General features: G+C 45.9%; 1 protein-coding gene and 1 long non-coding RNA gene across 12 annotated transcripts in view, besides 2 other annotated features; one reads left to right on the top strand and one right to left on the bottom strand.

Annotated features, from left to right (window-relative positions):
- Positions 1 to 19,699, top strand: part of SRGAP3 (SLIT-ROBO Rho GTPase activating protein 3) — a 382,437-nt gene that overhangs the window by 159,791 nt on the left and 202,947 nt on the right. The window lies entirely within an intron of this gene.
- Positions 16 to 516: an enhancer, noted in NCBI's record as "H3K4me1 hESC enhancer chr3:9244405-9244905 (GRCh37/hg19 assembly coordinates)". NCBI's record gives its function as "activates a minimal SCP1, AML or CMV promoter by ChIP-STARR-seq in primed H9 embryonic stem cells {active_cell/tissue: H9 hESC(primed)}" and the evidence as "EXISTENCE:reporter gene assay evidence [ECO:0000049][PMID:30033119]".
- Positions 517 to 1,017: an enhancer, noted in NCBI's record as "H3K4me1 hESC enhancer chr3:9243904-9244404 (GRCh37/hg19 assembly coordinates)". NCBI's record gives its function as "activates a minimal SCP1, AML or CMV promoter by ChIP-STARR-seq in primed H9 embryonic stem cells {active_cell/tissue: H9 hESC(primed)}" and the evidence as "EXISTENCE:reporter gene assay evidence [ECO:0000049][PMID:30033119]".
- On the bottom strand, positions 8,784 to 10,744 carry SRGAP3-AS2 (SRGAP3 antisense RNA 2). Of its 2 annotated transcripts, NR_121663.1 has the most exons (3): positions 10,242 to 10,744; positions 9,747 to 9,808; positions 8,784 to 9,511 (listed from the first exon to the last, which is right to left on the bottom strand). It is a non-coding gene; the product is annotated as an SRGAP3 antisense RNA 2 (long non-coding RNA). The 2 variants fall into 2 exon arrangements; NR_121664.1 differs by lacking the exon at positions 9,747 to 9,808.

Below are 19,699 nucleotides of genomic sequence, written 5' to 3'. Positions count from 1 at the left end.
GTCATAGTGACAAGCTGCAGCTGCAGGGACATAGCTGGTGGGGGCATGGGATATGGTGCCCTCCAGTTTGAAGAGGACAAAAATGTCTTTATGAGACCCGATTCCCGAGAAACAGACTGGGAGTCAGAGACTTCTGTGCAATAAGTTCCCTGAGGATTACTCTCAGGATCGGTGTCTATGGAGGAGGGCAGAGGAGAAGATGAACTGGGCTGGAAAGCCTCAGCTGATCCCACAAGGGTTGCTGAAGCTAGGGTGACTTTTGGAGTTGGCCTGGCTTGGGGAGAAGTGGCTGAATTTTATGCCCTCCCATCAACCAGTCACTGCAGTTGGTTTTCCCACAAAAGGAAAGGAAGGAGGCTTACTTCAGCCTAGAGCATGTTCTGGAGAGGGGCTCCGCTGGGAGCTGTCAGCCACTGTGGGCAGCTGGGGAAATGGTCTTGCCCTCCTGGCATGGGGCATGGACTCCAGCAGGGACAACACTAGAAGCCTCAGCTGCGAGGCACAGAGTCCCAGGCCTGCGGGAGATTCAGGCCCAGCATCAGCTCAGGGGTTCCCACAGAGTGGACAGAGGGTTTCCAGGGGGTGAGCAGAGATGGGGCAGGAATCCAGGAGGGGGCTCGAGGGTGGGGCAGGCAGGCAGTTTCCATGTGGAGGTCTGTGCCTTGGCAGGGAAACCTCTGCTCCAGACAAGAGTTCACTTTAGAGTGCAGGTCTTTGCTGGAGCAGGGCAGGCTAGTGAACATCAGAGTGGTATCCTGTGCAGGAGCTGCCCCAGGAGGGTTTTCAGCTCCCTGGAGTTGGGGCTTAGAGGGTGACGAAGGCTTAGCTTCATGGAAAGCTTGGTGTCTGGATAGGCTGTGTCTTGGGAGGGGGCTGAGCTTTCAGCTGGTCCAGCTATGGGGACAGAAGAGGCCAAGGCTGGCAGATAACGTGGGCACTAATACCACTCTTCCTTCATCAAGGAAGAGTCTCCAGAGTCCCCAGTCCAACTGCCTCAAGGGCGAGCTAATTTGGCTGCTGCTCCCGCCATAGCTGTTTCTATGGATACATTTCAAGACTTAGTCTGGTCATCTTCAAAAGCATCAAAGGCAGCAAACCCCATCCATGCATAATCTTTTGTTATAGCCCCACAAATAGCTTTTGTTATAACCCTTCCCCCGCCTCCCTTCCCCCCATCCTCCAAACCAAAGAAACCGGCTTCACTGTGGCACAGTCCTCTAGCAAAAGAAGCATTCGACTTTTTTCTGGAAGTTGAAAGGCCTGAGTTTGAAGCCTATCCTTGCCATTCGTAAAATGCAAATAGTAACACCCAACGCACAGAGTTGTTGTAAGGATTCAATGAGATACATGGATCTGAAAATGCACAGCACATTGCCTGGCCCATAGTAGGTCTTCATGAAATGTTGGTGTCTTTCCTTTCTCTTTATTTATCAGTTAGGCAACTTAAGAATTACATCCCTCCAGTAGCACTCAAGTCTCTGTAACGTGTCTCCTTGAGTGTTACATGCACTTGATACAGAATAAGCTCTCCTTGATGTCAGTGTACTCTCCCTGATGACAAACGCCAAGTCATTGGTGATTGGAGCCTCATAAGGCGTCTCTTGACTGTTCTTCCTGCTGACTCCCTAGTTAGGAAGGAACCGGTTATAGGGTCCTGAAGGCAAGTGGACTGGTCTTTTCCTCTCTTGTCAAGGCCAAGCCTTTGCTGGGAGCAGGCAGAGGCACACAGGGCGGGGACGCTCCTTGCCTCTGGAGAGTCTGTTCCAGCAGATGGCTCTGCTGCAGTTCTGCTTAGGAGGTTAATGGACACCAGATGTCTCAGCAGGCAAGTTTTCATTTTCTCCTGGAACCACTTAATTTGGCTGAACATCTGCCTTGGCTTCCAGGCTTTTCTATCACCTGGGCTTCAACACTGGGTCAGTGGCCAGTGGATGTCGGAGGAGCTTACAGTCCCTTTTCCTCACCTGAGGTCTTGGGGGCTGGGGGTGCCAGCCTGATTTGTGGGTTAAAGGTGGTGGTTGAGAGGGCAAGTGTGGGGCATGGTTGGCTTCCGTCACCGTCCTTCATGTCTGGTCTGTTGTCACCGAGCCTTCCTATTAGAAAACCAATATTAAGCCAACAAAATGGTGTGTGCCTGAATGGGGAATATATCCATCTGGACCAGGATTGGCTGATTGTCAAGAGCAGAGGGAGGCCTCTGGAATTGGCTTGAGGGAGGTGCCAACATGCTGACCCTCCTCTGCTCCAGGGCCTCCCTCGGTGCATTTCCAAACCACTGGCAGCTGATCATCTCTGGGTAGTCATGACTTGAGTTTTGTTTGGAAAGTGCCATTCTGTTACTGGTACTGCTGGTTTTTAAATGAGAGTGTGTGTCAGCCTGGCCTAAGGACCTTAGTAAGCTGTAGATTGCTGGGCCCCACCACGGGATTCAATACGTCTATGGTGGAGCCCGGGAATCTGCATTTGAAGCAAGCACCCCAGGTAATATTGATGTACGTGGTCTTTGGACTGCGCAGAACAATTCTGCCTGGAACCCTGTCTTTTTGGGATCTGGAAATTTCTTCTGCTTTCTATCCCAGGGAGGCACACACTCCTTCATGGTCTTCCTTCTTTGCCTGGGAAACTACTCATCCAGTAAGACCCAGGTCAAAACTGGCTTCAGCTGTGAGACCTTTTCAGCCCACGCCTTTTTGGGGGCAGAATTACTTGCTTTCTCCTTATTGCTTCCATAACATTTTGCAGGTGCTTTTGTAGGATGGCACTACTCACATTTACTATGGTCTTTTGTGTGTTCCTTTTTGGCTGGGAGCTTGTCTTTTTCATCTTTCTATTTGTGCTAGAATATAGCAAAATAGCATGTCATAGGCACCAACAAATACATATTGAGTGAATGAAAGAATCCTTGTCCAACCCCCTAAATATTAATAACATATTCTTACTGTATATAGGTTCTTTCTAAAGTTTATACAAATGAAACAATTTTAGTTTTGATAATATAGCTTATTTATCTTAAAAACAAAGTATATTGGTGACATATAAAGGACACATACTTTTTCTTTTTACAGCTCATGGTATGAGTCCTCATGGGACACAGTTTACCTTCTTGGCTGTAGCTATGCTCCCCTCCAAGCACACAGGCGATGCCTTGCATACAGCCACCATATTGTCAGCCTCTCCTTTAATCAACTTGCATTTAAATGCCATTTTCCTGGTTACTAGCCAACCTACGGCCTGACAGTGTGACTTGCAATTCATAAGGCCTTTCTGAAGGCTTGATTTTTTTCTTAAGCATTTATACTGGTTTTTCATTTCTTTTTTGTCATTGTTCCTTTATTTAAGAGCTCAATGGTGTCTGTCTCAATGGCACATTTCCAGGGGACAGAGACCATGTGTTTGTAAATCTTTTTGGATGGGGCTTGGTATGTCGAGAAAGAATGAATAATTGTAGAGTGCTCATATAGTTTATAAAGCACTTTCCCATCAGCCATGCTTTGAGTTAGAGAATACGATTGCTTCCCCTTTAGGGACTCAATAACTAGGAAGAGACACAGCCAAAAACTGAATGCAGTTCTTTAAATCCCATGCTCTCGAAAATGATCATTGTAGCACTATTTATAATAAAAAACAAACAAAAGCAGAACCTATTTAATAATGTTACAACTCTTTGATGGAATATTATACAGCCATTAGAAATGAGGCCTCTGGAGGTGATAGAGCCACATGGAAAGTATTGTCACAGCAGTCATATAAAGTGAACAAAGAAAAAAACAAAGGACATTGGAAACCATTTGATTGGTGGTGGGAGGTAAAATGCCATGGCTTAAAAAAAAATCTCAGTCAGCGTTGCTAGCACATTGGTGTGATTGAAAAACGGGAAAACAAAACCGAACCCTCCACCCTGACTTCTGCCGGTACACATTTGCATTTATGAATGCTTCTGAGGTGCTGATGAAGTGAGAAGAACTTTCAGCTGGAGCAGAGAGGTAGCGCGTGTGAGTGAGTCGCGGGAGTGTGCTCTGATGCAGATGATTAAGCCCATTGCAAATGCAGAATTAAGTAACTCTGATAACGGAGCCCTTGAGCATCCTTCTTGGAGATTAAACCTTTCAGGCTTTTAGCAGCTGAGAGGTGCTGGGGATTGGAGATAGCTGGCTTAAAAAGGATGGGAAGGGGGGGCAGATATTGGATGGGGACAGGAAGGAAAATGCGCCACATTCAGGTCAGGATTCTGTTCTGAAATTGGCTGTCGCTGCGAGAAGTGCTGGAAAATGTCCCATTATCTGGAGAGAGAGGACAGTGTGTCTGCTTGCTGCCCGTCTTTTCTTGCTTGTCTTTCTACAGGCTGGGGTTTTAATTTTCTGTGCTGGCCGATTCCTCCAGTTTGTGTATGAGTTTTCATTCTTGTTTGGTGCCTGGGCCTGTTTTACATGTGAATGCCCTTTAGAAGAAAGGACAGTCCTAGCCCCGTTTGCTGGGGAGAGAAAGGACAAGGCCTCTGGGCCCTGCAACCTCTTCCTTGCACCTATTGACGTATTCATCCTGTGCTAGACACAATGCCAGGTGCTGGGAGTAGACAGACATGGTCTTTGCCTTCATGGAGCTTACAATTAAACAGTGGTTGCTCAGGACTGGATACCTAATTTGGAGGGCCCTGTACAAATGAAAAGGTAAAGCCCCTTTTCAAAAATTAAGAGTTTCAAGACAGTACTGGCACAGCACCAAACCAAGCACTGGCTACTGAATGCTAGGTAGATTGTAAGTCCAGGAAGCTGGCCCCGTGGTTTCTTCCCAGAACCTTGTATAAGGAGAGGGAGTTATTCCTTCCTTATTACCCCAGTCTTCCTCATCACTGCATGTGGGAATTGAACAGCCTCTGAAGAAGAAGATGTCTTCCTTGACTCAGTGGGCCTATGTAGAGAAATAATAAAACACAGATAAAAGGCACGACAAACATTAAATAAATACTGGTTGCCCGAGACATGTAGCTAAGGCCATGTAGACATATAAAGAATGTTCAACTTTTTTGGAAACATCTGAACATAAATCAGATGTAATGACAGAAAGCCTTGTCATCCAGTGTTCCTTGGAGCAAATAGGCTGTGACCAGTCTAATTGTTACAGACTTGAAAGACAGTCTCTATAGAAAGGCCTGTGCCCTGTATGATAACACAGTTTACTAGTTTCTATAAAGCAACAGACAACCTACCTGCAAGTCATAATATAATGAAGAATAACTACAATAGGATAGTTTTTGTATTTCCCAAATATTCTCTGGAATATTATTTTTAAGAAAGAGATTCTACCTAAATTGGGTAATTTGACAAATAAGTTTTGGAAAGGCTCATATTCTATTCCCTCTTGGAGATACACAATTCATATTAAAGTCCCATGGCTGTGAAGGAAGCCCTTTAAACTTTTAACACAATGTTATTTGATTATGACACCTCTTTTAGAAAGTAATAACTAATAACAATGTAGTTAGAGAACAGGGATTCTGAAGCATATGCTTTGGAAAATGCCGGTGATGTACTTCTAAACTTCTGAGATGCATGATCTGGGATCACAGGATCTGGGTTTCAGAGCCACTCACAACTATAGACAAGTTACATGGTCTTCTGGAGTCTGTCACCCAATCTGTTAAATAATAATACCCATATGACACAGTTGTGTGGTTTAAATGAGACACTACAAAATGAGAAGAAACATTTTGCAAACTGTGAAGTTGTCAAGCGTTTAGTGATTATTTAACTGATATTGAAATAAACAGGAACTATTATCTCTGTTTGAAAGTGGGTAAACCGAGACCTGGAGCGATTAAGAAAGGAGGCTGGAGATCCACAGCCATTTCATGGCAGAGCCAATCTCCCAATTCACAGTTCTCAGCAGGATGACTTTTAAACCAACTTTGCTTGTAGATTTTAGTTTGGAAAACGGGCCACCTCTTTGACAGGCATGTCCTGTGGAACAGCTAGAGGCAGAGGCTGGCATGAAAATGCCAACTTTTCTTTCCTTTCTAGCATTGACATCTGATGTTAGCAGAATGATGAATTCAGGGGTGACAGATTTCTAGAGGATTTGTGTCCTCTTTAGGCCAGTACACCCTGTCATCTATACGAATCCCTTTTCTACCCTGAAAACCATCGTTGAGGCTGATTTAAAAGGGAAGGTGGCTTTTCTTGTCGTGAGTGAAAAAGAACCTGGTATGTTCTCTGTTGTGCATCTTTGAATGGGGAGGACGAAAACTTTGGAGAGGTGTGTTTTAGAAAAGAATATGTTGTTTTTCTTCCTTCTTTAAAATGGAAATCATGCCAGAGTGGAAAATGTAGAAACGGGAATTAGAAGACCTGGGTTTTAATCCTGTTTCTGCACCTAACTGGCTGCCTGACCTTTGGCTGTTCCCTTACTTTATCTGGGTGCAACTTTGCTATCTTAAAATAAGAGTATTGGACTAGTTTGCAAAATTTAGGGTTTTTGTCTCTTATCTTTGCATTTTTCCATGTTTATGTCACCTTTATTATTTTCTGCATATTTTTCTTGAAACTGATCCATCTATTCTGTACAAATTGTTTTGGAGGGAAATGTTACAAACTTCTGCAAATAAAAAGTCAGCATTGATGCTGTATATTGGAGGTAACTCTAAGACAAAAGATAGGCTGGTTCAGAGGGCACATTTTTTGTTATGTATATTTTGTCTCAATTAAAAAATTAAAAACAAAGAAAAAGCAAAAATAAGAGCAAAGAAAACATAAAACACAACTATTAAAACAAATATACTGTATTTACTCTTTTACAACTGAAAGCTTTCATCCATCAGTGGCAGTAAATGATCCAAAGACGACCTTCTGGCTCCAAAGGTTTTGGTACAGATGATGTTTCTAGTGCAAACTAGCACACCATACTGCCCTTGCCAGAGAGCCACACATCTTTCTTAATCACACCGTAGCCATGGAAACGCCCCCTCCTCCAACTTTGGCAGTCCTTAATGGGTGGTCCCCAGGGCTCATGGCTTGTCTCTAGGAAAACCCCGCCCCGCTGGGCAGACGGACTTGTCAAATGCATGGTTGTTGGTTTCACCTGGATTAAACTGCTCTCTCCGTCTGGAGGGTTCCTGGCTTTCATTTCCAAATCAAAATCCTACCCACTCTTTGGATCCCACCTCCTGCAGAAAGCTTCCTGGGATTCCTCCAAAGCCACAATGATCTTTTCTAAATTTTCTCCCTAAATTTTCACTCTGTACAAGTATTTTCGATTGGGTTCTTTTCTTTTTTGTTGTTTTTTTTGGAGACAGGGTCTTGCTCTATCACCCAGGTTGGAGTGCAATGGTGTGATCATGGCTCACTGTAGCCTCAAACTCTTGGGCTCAAGTGATCCTCCTGCCTCAGCCTCATGATTAGCGAGGACTGCAGGCGCACACCAGCACTCCTGGCTAATTTTTTTATTTTTTGTAGAGATGGCGTCTTGCTGTGTTGCTTGGGCTGGTCTTGAACTCCTGGGCTCAAGTGATCCTCCCACCTTGACCTTCCAACGTGCTGAGATTACAGGTGTGAGCCAGTGTGCATGGCTTAGGTTGAGTTTTTTAGAAATAGAGCCTGAGACGGGGCCTTGGGTGCATGCTGTTTATTGGTGTGCCTTTCTGGAAATACCTGTAAGGAGGTGGCAACAGAAGGATGGGGAGGGGGAGGAGCTGAGGGAGGAAGTGGCTTCAGGTAATCCTAGTCTGGGCCTGATCCATGGGAGCTCTGCTATTAATCACACCACAAGTTGTTCCTCACCCCTAGATGAGATGAACAGCCAGCTTTTTGTATCCTCATGTCATCAGTCACTGGCCTCAGGCTGGCAGGGTGGGAGTGGGGGTAAACCAGTGTTGTGTTGGACCTGACCCTTACGAGCTTGTGGTGGTCACGTTTTTAGGAACGTTGTGAGCCACTATTAACAATTAAATCATGTAAAGTTATAATTAAGTAAATAATGCTGAAACAATGGAAATACATATTCAAAAGTCATCACTTCCTAATTATTTTACTACAGTTTTAAAAATCTGTGCACTTGCAGTTATTTTTGGTTATTGGATCTTTATGGTGGAAACACTATGTGATGGAGAGCTATGTGCATCTCTCCACAACTCCACCTTCGGTGATGTCTTGCTGGGAGCTTGGAGTCGGCCATGGTGGGAATATTTACACCAGGGAAAGTGGCAAATACTCAAGCCAGGGCTCCTCCTACCCCACCAGAAAGTGGCTGCTAAACATTTGCCAACACAGCACTGGGTATAATCTCCCTCATCAGCTGGGTGTGGGGACGGTGGGGGTGGCAATTCTCCAGAGGACAGGGCAGCTGTGAGCCACTGGTAGCCACCACCCAAAGCAGCCAAGGGATGGTACATGGCCTGGGAACAGGGATCTGGACAGGGCACAGTGTTCTCTATGGCAAGTTATTTGAAATTTTATTCACGTCCTGACTTGTGGCATCCTGTCATTAGGTTTTTATTGGAGGGGAAAGAACAATAGAAGCCTGGAGCCCTGGGTTCTAGTGTTGACTTTGGCACTATCTTGCTGTTGACTTTGGGAGAAGGTTGTTTTACATCTCTGTTTTCTCACCCATGAAAATAGGGGATCAGATGACCTCTCAGGAGGCTTTCAGCCCTGCACAGCCTCAGACTATCCTCTCAGCTGTTGCCACCTAAGTTAGGAGCATGAGTACAGAAACCATGTCTCACTGTATTACCTGCAGAACCCAGCATGTGAAACTTTCCTCCTTAATCTCCAGACTTAGAGACTCAATCGTAAAAATAGATAACATTTATTGAGCACCTACTGAATAGAAGACATTTTAGATCTTAGCTCATCTAATCTGTTTATCAACGTTATGACATAGGTTTTTTTTTTTCTATTTTACAGATGAGAAAAATCGAGGCCCAGAAATATGAAATTACTTGTCCAGTCACACAGCTAGTAAATGGCCCATTTGGGATTCCAGCCCCACTTGGCTTGTGCTTTCAACTATTTTCCATATTACCCTATTGGAAAAGGATTTAAAAGAGGCTCTTGCTACATCAGGGTCCCCATTTGGGATCTAGAGATTGCTTGGTTTCATCTCCCCTTCCACCTATTCTCTGTCTTGCTCAGTCTCAGTTCTCTTTCTTCTGGGTGGAATGGGTTGTAAGCCCCTTTGCAACTCAGGCCTTTGTAACTGTTGAATAGGCAAATGAAGGAGGAAGGCTCCGAGGATGGAAGCCAGCTGTGCACTTCGCTGATGATCTGGGATGCACAGAGGTGGGATGGGGCGGGTGAGCAATGGAAGGCTGCTAATGAGCGTTTCCCAGTGTTGCCTCCGAGGGCGGCTGCAGCCTCTGCGCTGCTGTTTGGGGTTGTTGGAGCCATCACAGCACAGCCAGGATTTGCCCTTAGGCTTGGTGACAGGTTGGATCACCTTCACTCAGAAGGCCTGGCCACTCTTTGCCATGTCTGATCTGTGGTGTGGATGACGGCAGCTGACATGGACTCCTCGCCACCTGGAAATGCATAAAGTGCAGCTTAGCCCCAGGCCAAGGGGAGACGTTCTGTGCAGCCCCCAGAGCCTTTGTTTCTCATGATTTCCTTCAACCCTGCCCCCAACTCCAACCCAGTGTCACAGGGATCTTAGTCCCACCTCCCCAGGGTCTGGCCCAGGATCCCCATCTCCCGCCAGCACTTGGTGTTTGAAACCTCCTCGCATAGCTGTGGTTTATTTAGGCCCCTGCCACCCACCTGGGCACCTCCTCTGCATGGCTCCCCATTTCACAGAAGGTGCTGATGCCTTTCTTGTGATTCTGCCAGCAGAGAAATTGAGGTCAGGGAGATCAGCCAAGCACACTTTTCGGTGGCTTTTAAGGAGGAGCAATCAGTTAGTGATCACTGTGGGCAGAGGGCTAAGGGGATGGCTTCAAGGAGAGAAAAAAGAGCAATCGGATGGTTCCTGAATTGTAGAAATGAACACAGTGAAAGTACCAGGCTGGGCTTGGGGGTCAGAACCTCCCTCAAGCCCCTGAACATCAGCTTCCCCACTCAGGATTTCTCACTTCAGTGACTGACTTCATCATCCCTCCAATTGCCCAGGCCAGAAATCTGGGAGTCGTCCTTGACTTGTCTCCCTCACCCCACAGTCTAATTGGCTGGCAAGTCTTGTTGTATCTATTTTCTGTCTCTTGAGTTTAGTCCTTTGCCGTGGCCACTGCCCACTACCAAGGGCCCACCAGCTCTTACCTGGACTGGTTCAGCCATCTCTTTCCAGGCCATGGTCTTCCTGCTTCAGCTCTCCTCCCTCAGCTCCCCCATCCATTCCCCTCTGCAGTCGGAAGTCTTCTAGAGGTGTACATTTGACCTTATCATGTCAGCTCCAGGTTAGAGCCTGGAGTTACTATAACGATTACCTCCAGGGCGAAGTTCAGACTCATTAGCCTTCCAGGAAAAGCAGCTCTTCTTGCCCTGCCCCTGTTTGACTCTCTGTGATGGGGGTCCCAAAACTACCTTAGGTTTGATAATTCACTTGAGGGACTCACAAAAATTAGAAAAGCTGATATACTCATGGTTATGGTTCATTGCAGCAAAAGGAGACAGGTTAAAATCATCCAAGGAAAAAGGTGCATAGGTCGGAGTCCAGGAAGACACCAGGCATAAATTTCCAGTTGTCCTCTCCCGGGGGAGTCACTTGGATAGCACTGAACTCTCCCAGCAATGATGTGTGACAAAACATAGCAGGGAAACCCAACTGCCCCTTGGTGTCCAGGGTTTTTGTTAGGAGAAGGGAGTCAGTCACGGAGGTATGAGTCACCCACGTGACTGACCTTGGCTACTCAGTCTCTATGCAACCCCTGCATGCCTGGAATCAAACCGATACAGCATGGGCTGGGACTCCAGGTAAACAAAAACAGGCCTTTATCATGAATTACACTGTTAGCATAAACTATGTGGGGTGGCCCAAAGCCCCAGCGATACAAAGATACTCTATTCCATCAGGCACGATATTCCAAGGGCTCAGAGGTTATTTCCCGGGGGCTGGTCAAGGGCCAGTTCTTTCTTTGGAAGGTGCAGAGTTTGAGGACCCCAAGCTAGTGGAGTTAACCTTTTATTGCATACCTCACATCCACGATTCTCTCCAGTATTAGGCCATTCTTGCATTGCTATAAAGGAATACCTGAGACTGGGTGATTTATAAAGAAAAGAGATTTAATTCGCTCATGGTTCTGCAGGCTTTACAGGAAATGAGGTGCCAACATCTTCTGGGGAGGCCTCAGGAAACTTACGATCATGGTGGAACCTGAAAGGGGAGTAGGCATATCACATGGCAAAAACAGGAGTGAGAGAAAGTGAGGGGGGAGATGCTACACACTTTTAAATAACCAGAACTCACAAGAACTCACTGTGGTGAAAACAGTACCAAGGGGGATGGTGCTAATCATTCATGAGAAATCTGCCCCCATGATCCAGTCACCTCTTACCAGGGCTCACCTCCAACACTGTGGATTATCGTTCAATGTGAGATTTGAACGGGGACACCCATCCAAATGATATCATCTCCCATATCTCCCACATTCCAGCCATATTATTTAGCTTGCACATTCATGACTCTGCCTTTGACCATACTGTTCCTTCTGCCTTGAATTCCCTTCTGCCTCATCTTCCCTAGTCTAACTGGAGAGCTCTCACTCATCCTGTCCTGTGTGGAGCCTTCCCTGATGCCCCAGGCAGGCTGAGTTTCCTCCTTCCCATGTACATAGGCACTGTCAATGCGTGCCGTAATTTGTGGATTCTTCAGCATCCTGTGGATGGGTTCAGGTCTGTTTTCCACACAATAGGAAACACCATTAGCTCCTTTAGCGTGAGAAATGTGCAGTCCATTAAAATGTTTATTTTATGTTTTTCCAATGATAAAAGCAATACTTGCTCATGGTAGAGAAATTTGGGCAGCATATTCCTTTTCAGCTTTTTCTCTCCAATGTTTTCCGTGTGTGAATCATTATAATCCGGGAGACCATAGTGCCTGGGCCTGGGCTTGCCTCCACAGGGCTGCTGATGTTGTTCCAGTCTCTCTAAAGTGGTGAATGAGGGCGACTCCACACCTATGCTCTCCCAGTCTCCAGAGACTTGTGGGATGGGCTGGGAACTGAGGACAGAGTGTGGAGGAGGGGGACGAGAAACTTCTTTTTTTTTCTGTAGGAAGAAGAGGTGGGGTAGGGATGGAGTAAGGGAAGACTTCCCAAAGAAGTCGACACTTGGGCCAGAACTTGAAGGAACTTTAGGATTTTGCTCAGGGATGGGAGGGAAGAACTTTGCAGGCCAAGGTCGTGGAACAAAGGGGTGACTGGCTGAGCTCAAGGCAGTGGGGCTCCCCTCCCCTAAGGGTCCCCAGCCCTGGGATGTGACATACCACTTGACTTTCCTTTGATCCTACACAGGAGTTGTTTCCAGGGGGCCACCCTTACTGAGCTGCTGACCCCAAGTTCTGTTTTAGTCACAGGGCTTCTTTTGTTTGTTTTGTCATTTGGCTCTGGATGTGTGTGAAATCCTAATTCAGGCCCCAGATAGCTGACCGACTAAAACCTAATGAAACAAAAAGATGGAGGAAATGTGCCCTAAAACAGTTGTTGAGTAACCCCAGGTAGCTTCAGTGCATGCCAGCTTTAAGCCTATAAATACATCGATGGGCGCCTCTTTCTCTTCTGAAACAGCAAGCCCCGAGGATTGGAGCCAGCCAGTGATATTCCGTTATACTACATTTTCAGTTTCAGGGAATCTTTTGAGCAAAACTGGACCTTTTGGGACCAACCTGTCATACTCGAGACCATGGCGAAACCTATCTGTTCATGCCAAGAGCTCAGCGTCCTACCTGAGTCCTGCTGAATTGCCTGTTCTCATCTCCTGCCTTCTAAATCACTCACTGGTGCTTCCTGTCATGGTAACTAGGACTTTCCACTCCTTATTCTGCAGCCTTTGACATCACCAGGGCTGAAAAGATCACTGGGCCTTCATGGGGTATTTTTCCAATGCGAATTGACTTTGTATGTGTTGGTGTAATTACCAGAATCTTCCACCGATTGTGTGAGGATGTTTCTAGACCCAGTTCTGTTCTATTCTTGCCGTGTGTCAATCCCTACTTTGTCACTTACTGGTCCTGGGATATTGGATGGGTTACTTGACCACTCTTGTGTGTCAATTTCACCCGTTAAGCGGGGATGATTATTTCTCAGTGTTCTGGCAGGATTAAATGCGAATATACATGAAAAGCACTTAGGATAGTACTTGGCACATAGTAAGCATTTAGAAATGGTTATAGTATTATGACTGTACTCTTAGATCCATCTCCTGTCTTAAACTCTGGATTATAGGAAAATAAGAGATTCAGGGAGAGCTGGGTTCTTTTTATCAATTTACTCTGTGATGCTGGGTGTCAGTTCTTCCTTTAAGGCCTTAATTTGGCCACAGTGAAAATGACAGGGGTGGACTCAATCAGGAATGACAGAGATGTGAAGGACATGAAACTTCTGGATTTTCTCACCCATTTCCTACTGATCCCAGACATGCTCTCAGACTATTCTGAATATAGCCCTCCTGGCAGCCATTGTAAATGGATTAGAAGGCACTTGAGCTGAAATCTGTTTTCTGTCCCTGGATTACAGGAAGTGTAGGGAATATGGGGTGCATGGGAGATGATACAGTTTGGATGTGTGTCCCTGCCCAAATCTTGTATTGATCTAATAATCTATGATCTTGAATAAAGGGATTGGAGGAGTCCAATTTTCAGGCTCCACAGATACTTCATCCCCTTCCCATACAGCTCTGCCCATTAAATATGACAATAGATAAAAACTGACTTCCAGAAGGGACTCGGGACAAACGATTTGATGGAGAATAAGCAGGGGCTTGCCTTACCAGCTGAAACATTTCCTAACCTTCAGTTTGTCCAGTTCTCTCTGCATAATATTCAAGACAGTTTTACGGAAGGTCTGAACACATCTCATCCCCGGCTTTGGATTTGTTTTTAATTTGATTTAGCCAAGGAGCAGAAAGGAGACAAGATTGACTGGAGCTCAGGGTTTGTAGGATAAAATCCTGAGTGGACAGGACCAAATTATGGTGGCTCCTTCTTGACTGTGATGATATGTCCTCCTCTGAATGGCAGAAATCTAGACAAGTGTTTTGTCTTCAGTGGAACCTACAAAAAAAGGACAAAGACCCTGTAGCAGTCACTGGTCTGATTCTTTTAGCTTCTGTTCTTTCTTTCTACCATCCTTCAATGAATCCAGTGCTCTGCTTAGGAATACCACCCTTTCTCAAGTTTACTCAAATTCTTTCTTTAATAATGTAAAGAGAATTCCCAATGTGGAGAGAATGGGCAGGGGAGCAGGGAGCAGTAGTTCTTAGGCCAACTTTGCATCTTTCCCTATTTGCATTTATTATCATGCACTAATTATTCACAGAGAGCCTTGCCCTTTGTGGGTTCGCATTAATTTAGATTGCTTTTGAAAAGCAATCAAGGAGGGAATGAAGTGATCACACATCAAAGGGAAAAAGATATGGCACCAAAGAGAGGCAATATGCTTTGCACAACTGGCCATGTCAGGTTGCTCTGAGCTTTCTCCAGCACAAGAAATATCAGAAAGTCCATCTGAGCTCTCCTAGCCCTGGTGTGGCCCCATTCATCTTTCTTCGTGTCCATTCTGTCAGTGGATAAGAAGGTGGAGAAGGCATATGTGGCAGATGATTGCTGGGTGGAGACAGGACTCTTCCTCACTCAGCCTCAGTTTCCTCATCTAGAAAATGAAAAGGTGGATTAGATTATCTTTCATGCCCTTCTCTCTAGGTCTACAACTCTCTGCCAAAGTTGTTTTGAAGACCTATAATTGTGTAACATAACAAATGGACACACTAATTACCTGCTTCTAATCCATAAGGTTCTCCTTGCTCAGTCTTCCCTTGGGTATTATTAGGAACAGAAAGGTGAACTAATATTTCTGTATCTCTCTCCTGCTTCAATTATCCGTGCTATTAATTTTGGTCATGGATTTTTCAGTTGTCAGCCTTTTGTTTTATTTGGGTTCTTACAAAAATCTGTGTTATTGAAGTATAATGTACACATAGAAAAATGCACGTTTGGTAAGGGTACAGCTAGATCCTTGCTTTTTGTGATCACTGTCTTGTATTCTTTCTCCCCTCACCCCCTCATCCTACTTCCTTCTAATTTGGGATGGGCACAGAAAGGGTCTAGGACCAGAGTCCCATTCCAAATCTATTGTTCCCATAGGCTTCTGGCAGAGGGTTGTTTGCTAAATGAGTTTGGGGGATTTGTTGTGAACCTGGTTTCTGTTTCTGTAGTCACTGTCAAGGGTGAATATGAAGGATTGCAGGTGTTCTGAGGGCGTCTCTGACGGGTATAAGTCACGTCGTACACGGCCTTGCATGGGACATCCAGTGAGCGAGCGTTCGGTGAAATGAGATCGAGCCTGAGGGTAAGACCCTGGTGGATTGAAGAGGTTGTGAGGGAAAAAGGAGGCAGGGCAGGAGAGAGAGGCAGAGCATGCCCTGTCAGCAAGAAGCAACACAGATGAAGCTGTGGCAGGGTCTAGATTTATATAAGCCAAGGGGGCTGGTGGTGTGCACAAAGGGGCAGCCAGTAAGAGACAGTGGCTGACTTCTTAAGCTATTCTTCCCGGGGGAAGAGGCCCAGGGCTGGGTAAGACTGCTCGATTTGTGATTAGGAGGTTGGTGAAGACTGTGCTTCCTTGAAGAGGTGAAAGGTGCTGTGTGGAGAGAGAAAGGATGTGGAGCACTCAGCACAGCGTCTGGGCGTGGGCTGGTACAGTTCTCCCCGACTTGCCCTCAATCACTGGACAGCAGTGATGAAATACCACTCTGCCCCTTCCTCAGTTAGTCCACTGACTGTACCCCCTCTCTGCAACTTTTCACCTTGGAGGCACATTGCCTTTTAGAAAGATCGCCATTAAAACTTTTTGCTGAGGGACAAACTAACACAAGAACAGAAAACCAAACACCGCATGTTCTCACTCATAAGAGGGAGTTGAACGATGAGAACACATGGACACAGGGAGGGGAACATCACACACCAGGGCCTGTCGGGGGGTGGGGGGCTGGGGGAGGGATAGCATTAGGAGAAATACCTAATGTAGATGACGGGTTGACGGGTGCAGCAACGCATCATGGCACGTGTATACCTATGTAACAAACCTGCATGTTCTGCACATGTGTCCCAGAATTTAAAGTATAATAAAAAAAATTTTAAAAACAAAAAACTTTTTGCTGAAGGAAAAGTAAGAACGTGGGGAGACTTCAGTGCCCACTGGCTATAGAAAGGGCTAATTAACCTTGCTTTGGTGCTGCTGAAATGACAAGCTGTTCCTCTGTAGAATAGCAGATGCCCCCGATGTTTATTCAAGAGCAGCTTATTGATTGGTGGACTCAAATTGAGTAGATTTCAATAACTGGAAATAAACATCCACCTTAGACCGCCTAAGGACACAGCATGATTATTCCTGGGGTCAGTCGTACATGGCAGGGTTTGGGGAGGGCGGGAGTTGACCTGCTCAAGCTGGTTCATTCCTTCATCTCACGGTTAGCTGAGGTTCTCTGAAGGTCAGGTTCCCTATCTACAAGATGGGCGAAGTAATACTTCACTGGTGAATTACATGAGGATTAAACAAGTTTCTGTTTCTCAAGTACTTATGGTAGTCCTTAGCATGTGGTAGGTATTTCATAAGAGATGATATTGATAATACTACCAGCAAGCATTTATTGAGCGTCCCAGGTGCTGTTATAGAATAAATAATACAGAACCCCTATTCTTAAGGAGCCGACAATGTAACAATAAAGAAAGATTTATATTACTCAGGAAGTAGTCACAAGACAGTGTGATAAATATTGTAATAGAGAGACACTCAGGGTACTATGAGAACATAGAACGTCAGATTCTCTTTGGGAGAGAAGGACAAGGCTTCCCTGGAGGTTAAGTTAGATCTTGAAGGCAGAAGGGCAGAGAAAAGCCTTCCAGGCCCACAAGACTCCAGGTTCAAAGGCGACAAGGTTTGAGACAATGTGGTGCTCTTTAAGCTAGCATAACTAGTGTGATGTACCATGAGCAAAAAGGGCTTTAGCAAGTATTTATAACAGTTTGTGGGTTTGAAGGGGTGACACGGTTGGAGAATGCTGAGTTGCTGGGTTTGGTTGGAAAGTGGAACTTTCCCAACACTTAGCTAGGTTATCCTTGCTAACCCTGTGTGCCTGCCCACTCCTGGCCGCTCAACTGAATCCTCCTGGGAGCATTTGGGGAACAATCAATCTTGGCATCCAAAGCTCATTACAGTCTGTTTCTAATCTTTCTTTCCTCTAATCTCGTACATCAAGACATCTCAATCAGGTGCAGTGGCTCATGCCTGTAATCACAGCACTTTGGGAAGCCGAGGTGGGAGGATCACTTACGCCCAGGAGTTTGAGACCAGCCTGAGCAACATAGTAAGACCCTGTCTCAAAAAAAAAATTAGTCAGGCCTTAGTGCTACTTGAGTGACACACGCCTATAGTCCCAGCTACTTAGGGAGCTGAAGAAGGAGGATTGATTGAGTCTGGGAGATTGAGGCTGCCATGTGCTATAATCTTGCCACTGCACTCCAGCCTGGGTGACAGAGTGAGACCTTGTCTCTAAAAAAAAAAAGAAATAAGGAAGGAAAGAAAAAAACGACTTCTCAACATTTATCCAGTGCAGTGCCCCCCCACCCCAACAAAGGGGTGCCATTGATATGCCTCCCTTCCACAGTCAGCCCAGTTCACAGATGGCTCCTTCTTCCTCTGAAACCCCTCTTTGACCACTCCAGTCATGATCCTCCCTGCCCCGTCTTGGTGCTCAGGGTAGCTAGTGTGAGGGGCTGGAATCTGGCCTCGCCAGGTAGGTAAGGGATAGAGAGGCTCAGTGTGGAAGAGGCCTTGCATGGTGTCCAAGGGCATGCAGCCTGTCCATGGGAGGTTGGAATCCAGGCAGGCAAAGAGGTCAGTAGTGATTGTGAAACCACAAATGCCCCAGTCAGTGGATGGAATACTGCCAAGGGGACTCTAGGGCCTATGACCCTTGGGAATCATGTGGGAAGACCGAAGACTCTAATAATGTGGGAAGACCCTAATTTTTTATAGTTTTAGAGATGGGGTTTCACCATGTTGGCCAGGCTGGTCTTGAACTAGTCTGGGGAGGGAGGATGGGAAGAACAAGGTATACTAGGGAGATGACCAATACAACAGCCAGCCCAGGGCTTGGGAACAAGGTGGGATCCTTGCTGTTGCACTGAGGTTTACATTGTGGAAGCCACAGGGTGGGGTCCAAGCTGATTTATACCTTCTGAGCTGATTTATACCTGAAAGGGATGGTTCTGGAGCTGGGGGAGGGAGGCTCTTGGGAGGAGGGGTGCAAGGATAAGGAGCCAGGCTGGACTGGATAACCTCCCTCTTCTCATCTCTCCTGTAAAGCACCTAGTTCGTTCTTTACCATTTGTTTGACCCTTAGCCTCCGAATGCCTTTTACACTGTGGCCATGTCCTCATGGAACTTCCGAGTGGCTCTGCCTAATTCCCATTCTAGGCTATAAATACCTTGAAGGCAGGATCTGTGTCTGCATTTCTAATAATAATAATGACATTAACAACACCCATTTACTGAGCATTTCCTTTGGATGCTAAGAGATTACGTGGATGGTTGATTCCATCCTCCTGTTAAAACCTTGAGGTCTACTTATCCCTGTTTTAAAACCTTGAGGTCTACTTATCCCTGTTTGACAGATGAAGAAACTGACGCTCAAAAGACCTTAACACCTGGTGTTGAAGGTCCCACAGCTAGTAGCTGTGGCAGTTCAGATTCAAATTCAGTCTGATGCAAAGTCTCTATGTCTAATCCCCTTGCTGTGCTGTGAAACAAAATCATTCTAACTCACTGAAGCAGGTTTTGTTAAAGGTCATGACTGTGCCGGGCAGCACCATGCTCCTTCCTTGCCATGGCCTCTGGCTTCACCTTGCCCAATATTAATTAATTGATTGAAATGGGAGGAAGTCGAGGGTGTGGGCAATGCAGAGACACCTGGCTTGGTGCCCTTTGCTTCCTTAAGCCCCTTTACAGAGGGGACTCCTGAGAGCAGATGGAAATGTCTGCAGGGAGTATTTTTTTCAAAGGGCCCCCGAAAGCATTCTGCCTAGCAACAAAGAGCCTTTCAGAATGCAGCTCCAAGAGGAGGCGAGGAGCTTGCAAGCTGAGAACCGGGAAGGGCTGGAGTCGCTGCTACAACTGGCTCCACAAAAGAGGCAAGCCGCAGAGGATTGAGTTTCATCTCGGGGTACAGCTGTGGGGGCTGAGGGGCCGGGGCTGGGGGTTAAGGCTAGGGAGACTGAGAAGGTCTTTAGGTGAACATTACAGTGTGTGTGTGTGTGTGTGTGTGTGTGTGTGTTAGCAAATTTGTGTTTTAGTACTATATATAACACAACCATGTGGAAGGACATGTTCAACTAGTTTCCTAGGGAGCCGTGTGTTCTTAATTAAGAATAGTTTTAATTATAAAAGCAATGCATGCTTGTTATAAAATTAAAATATTCTAGAGGTATGTAAAGTAAAAATTGAAAGCCTTTGCCATCTGCCCCAAGTAAGCACTGTTAACATTGTGCTGTGTATTCTCCCAGA

Source organism: Homo sapiens, chromosome 3 (genome assembly GCF_000001405.40).
Source record: "Homo sapiens chromosome 3, GRCh38.p14 Primary Assembly".
In the NCBI taxonomy this organism is placed as follows: Eukaryota; Metazoa; Chordata; class Mammalia; order Primates; family Hominidae; genus Homo; species Homo sapiens.
This window is presented reverse-complemented; position numbering and strand designations above follow the sequence as displayed.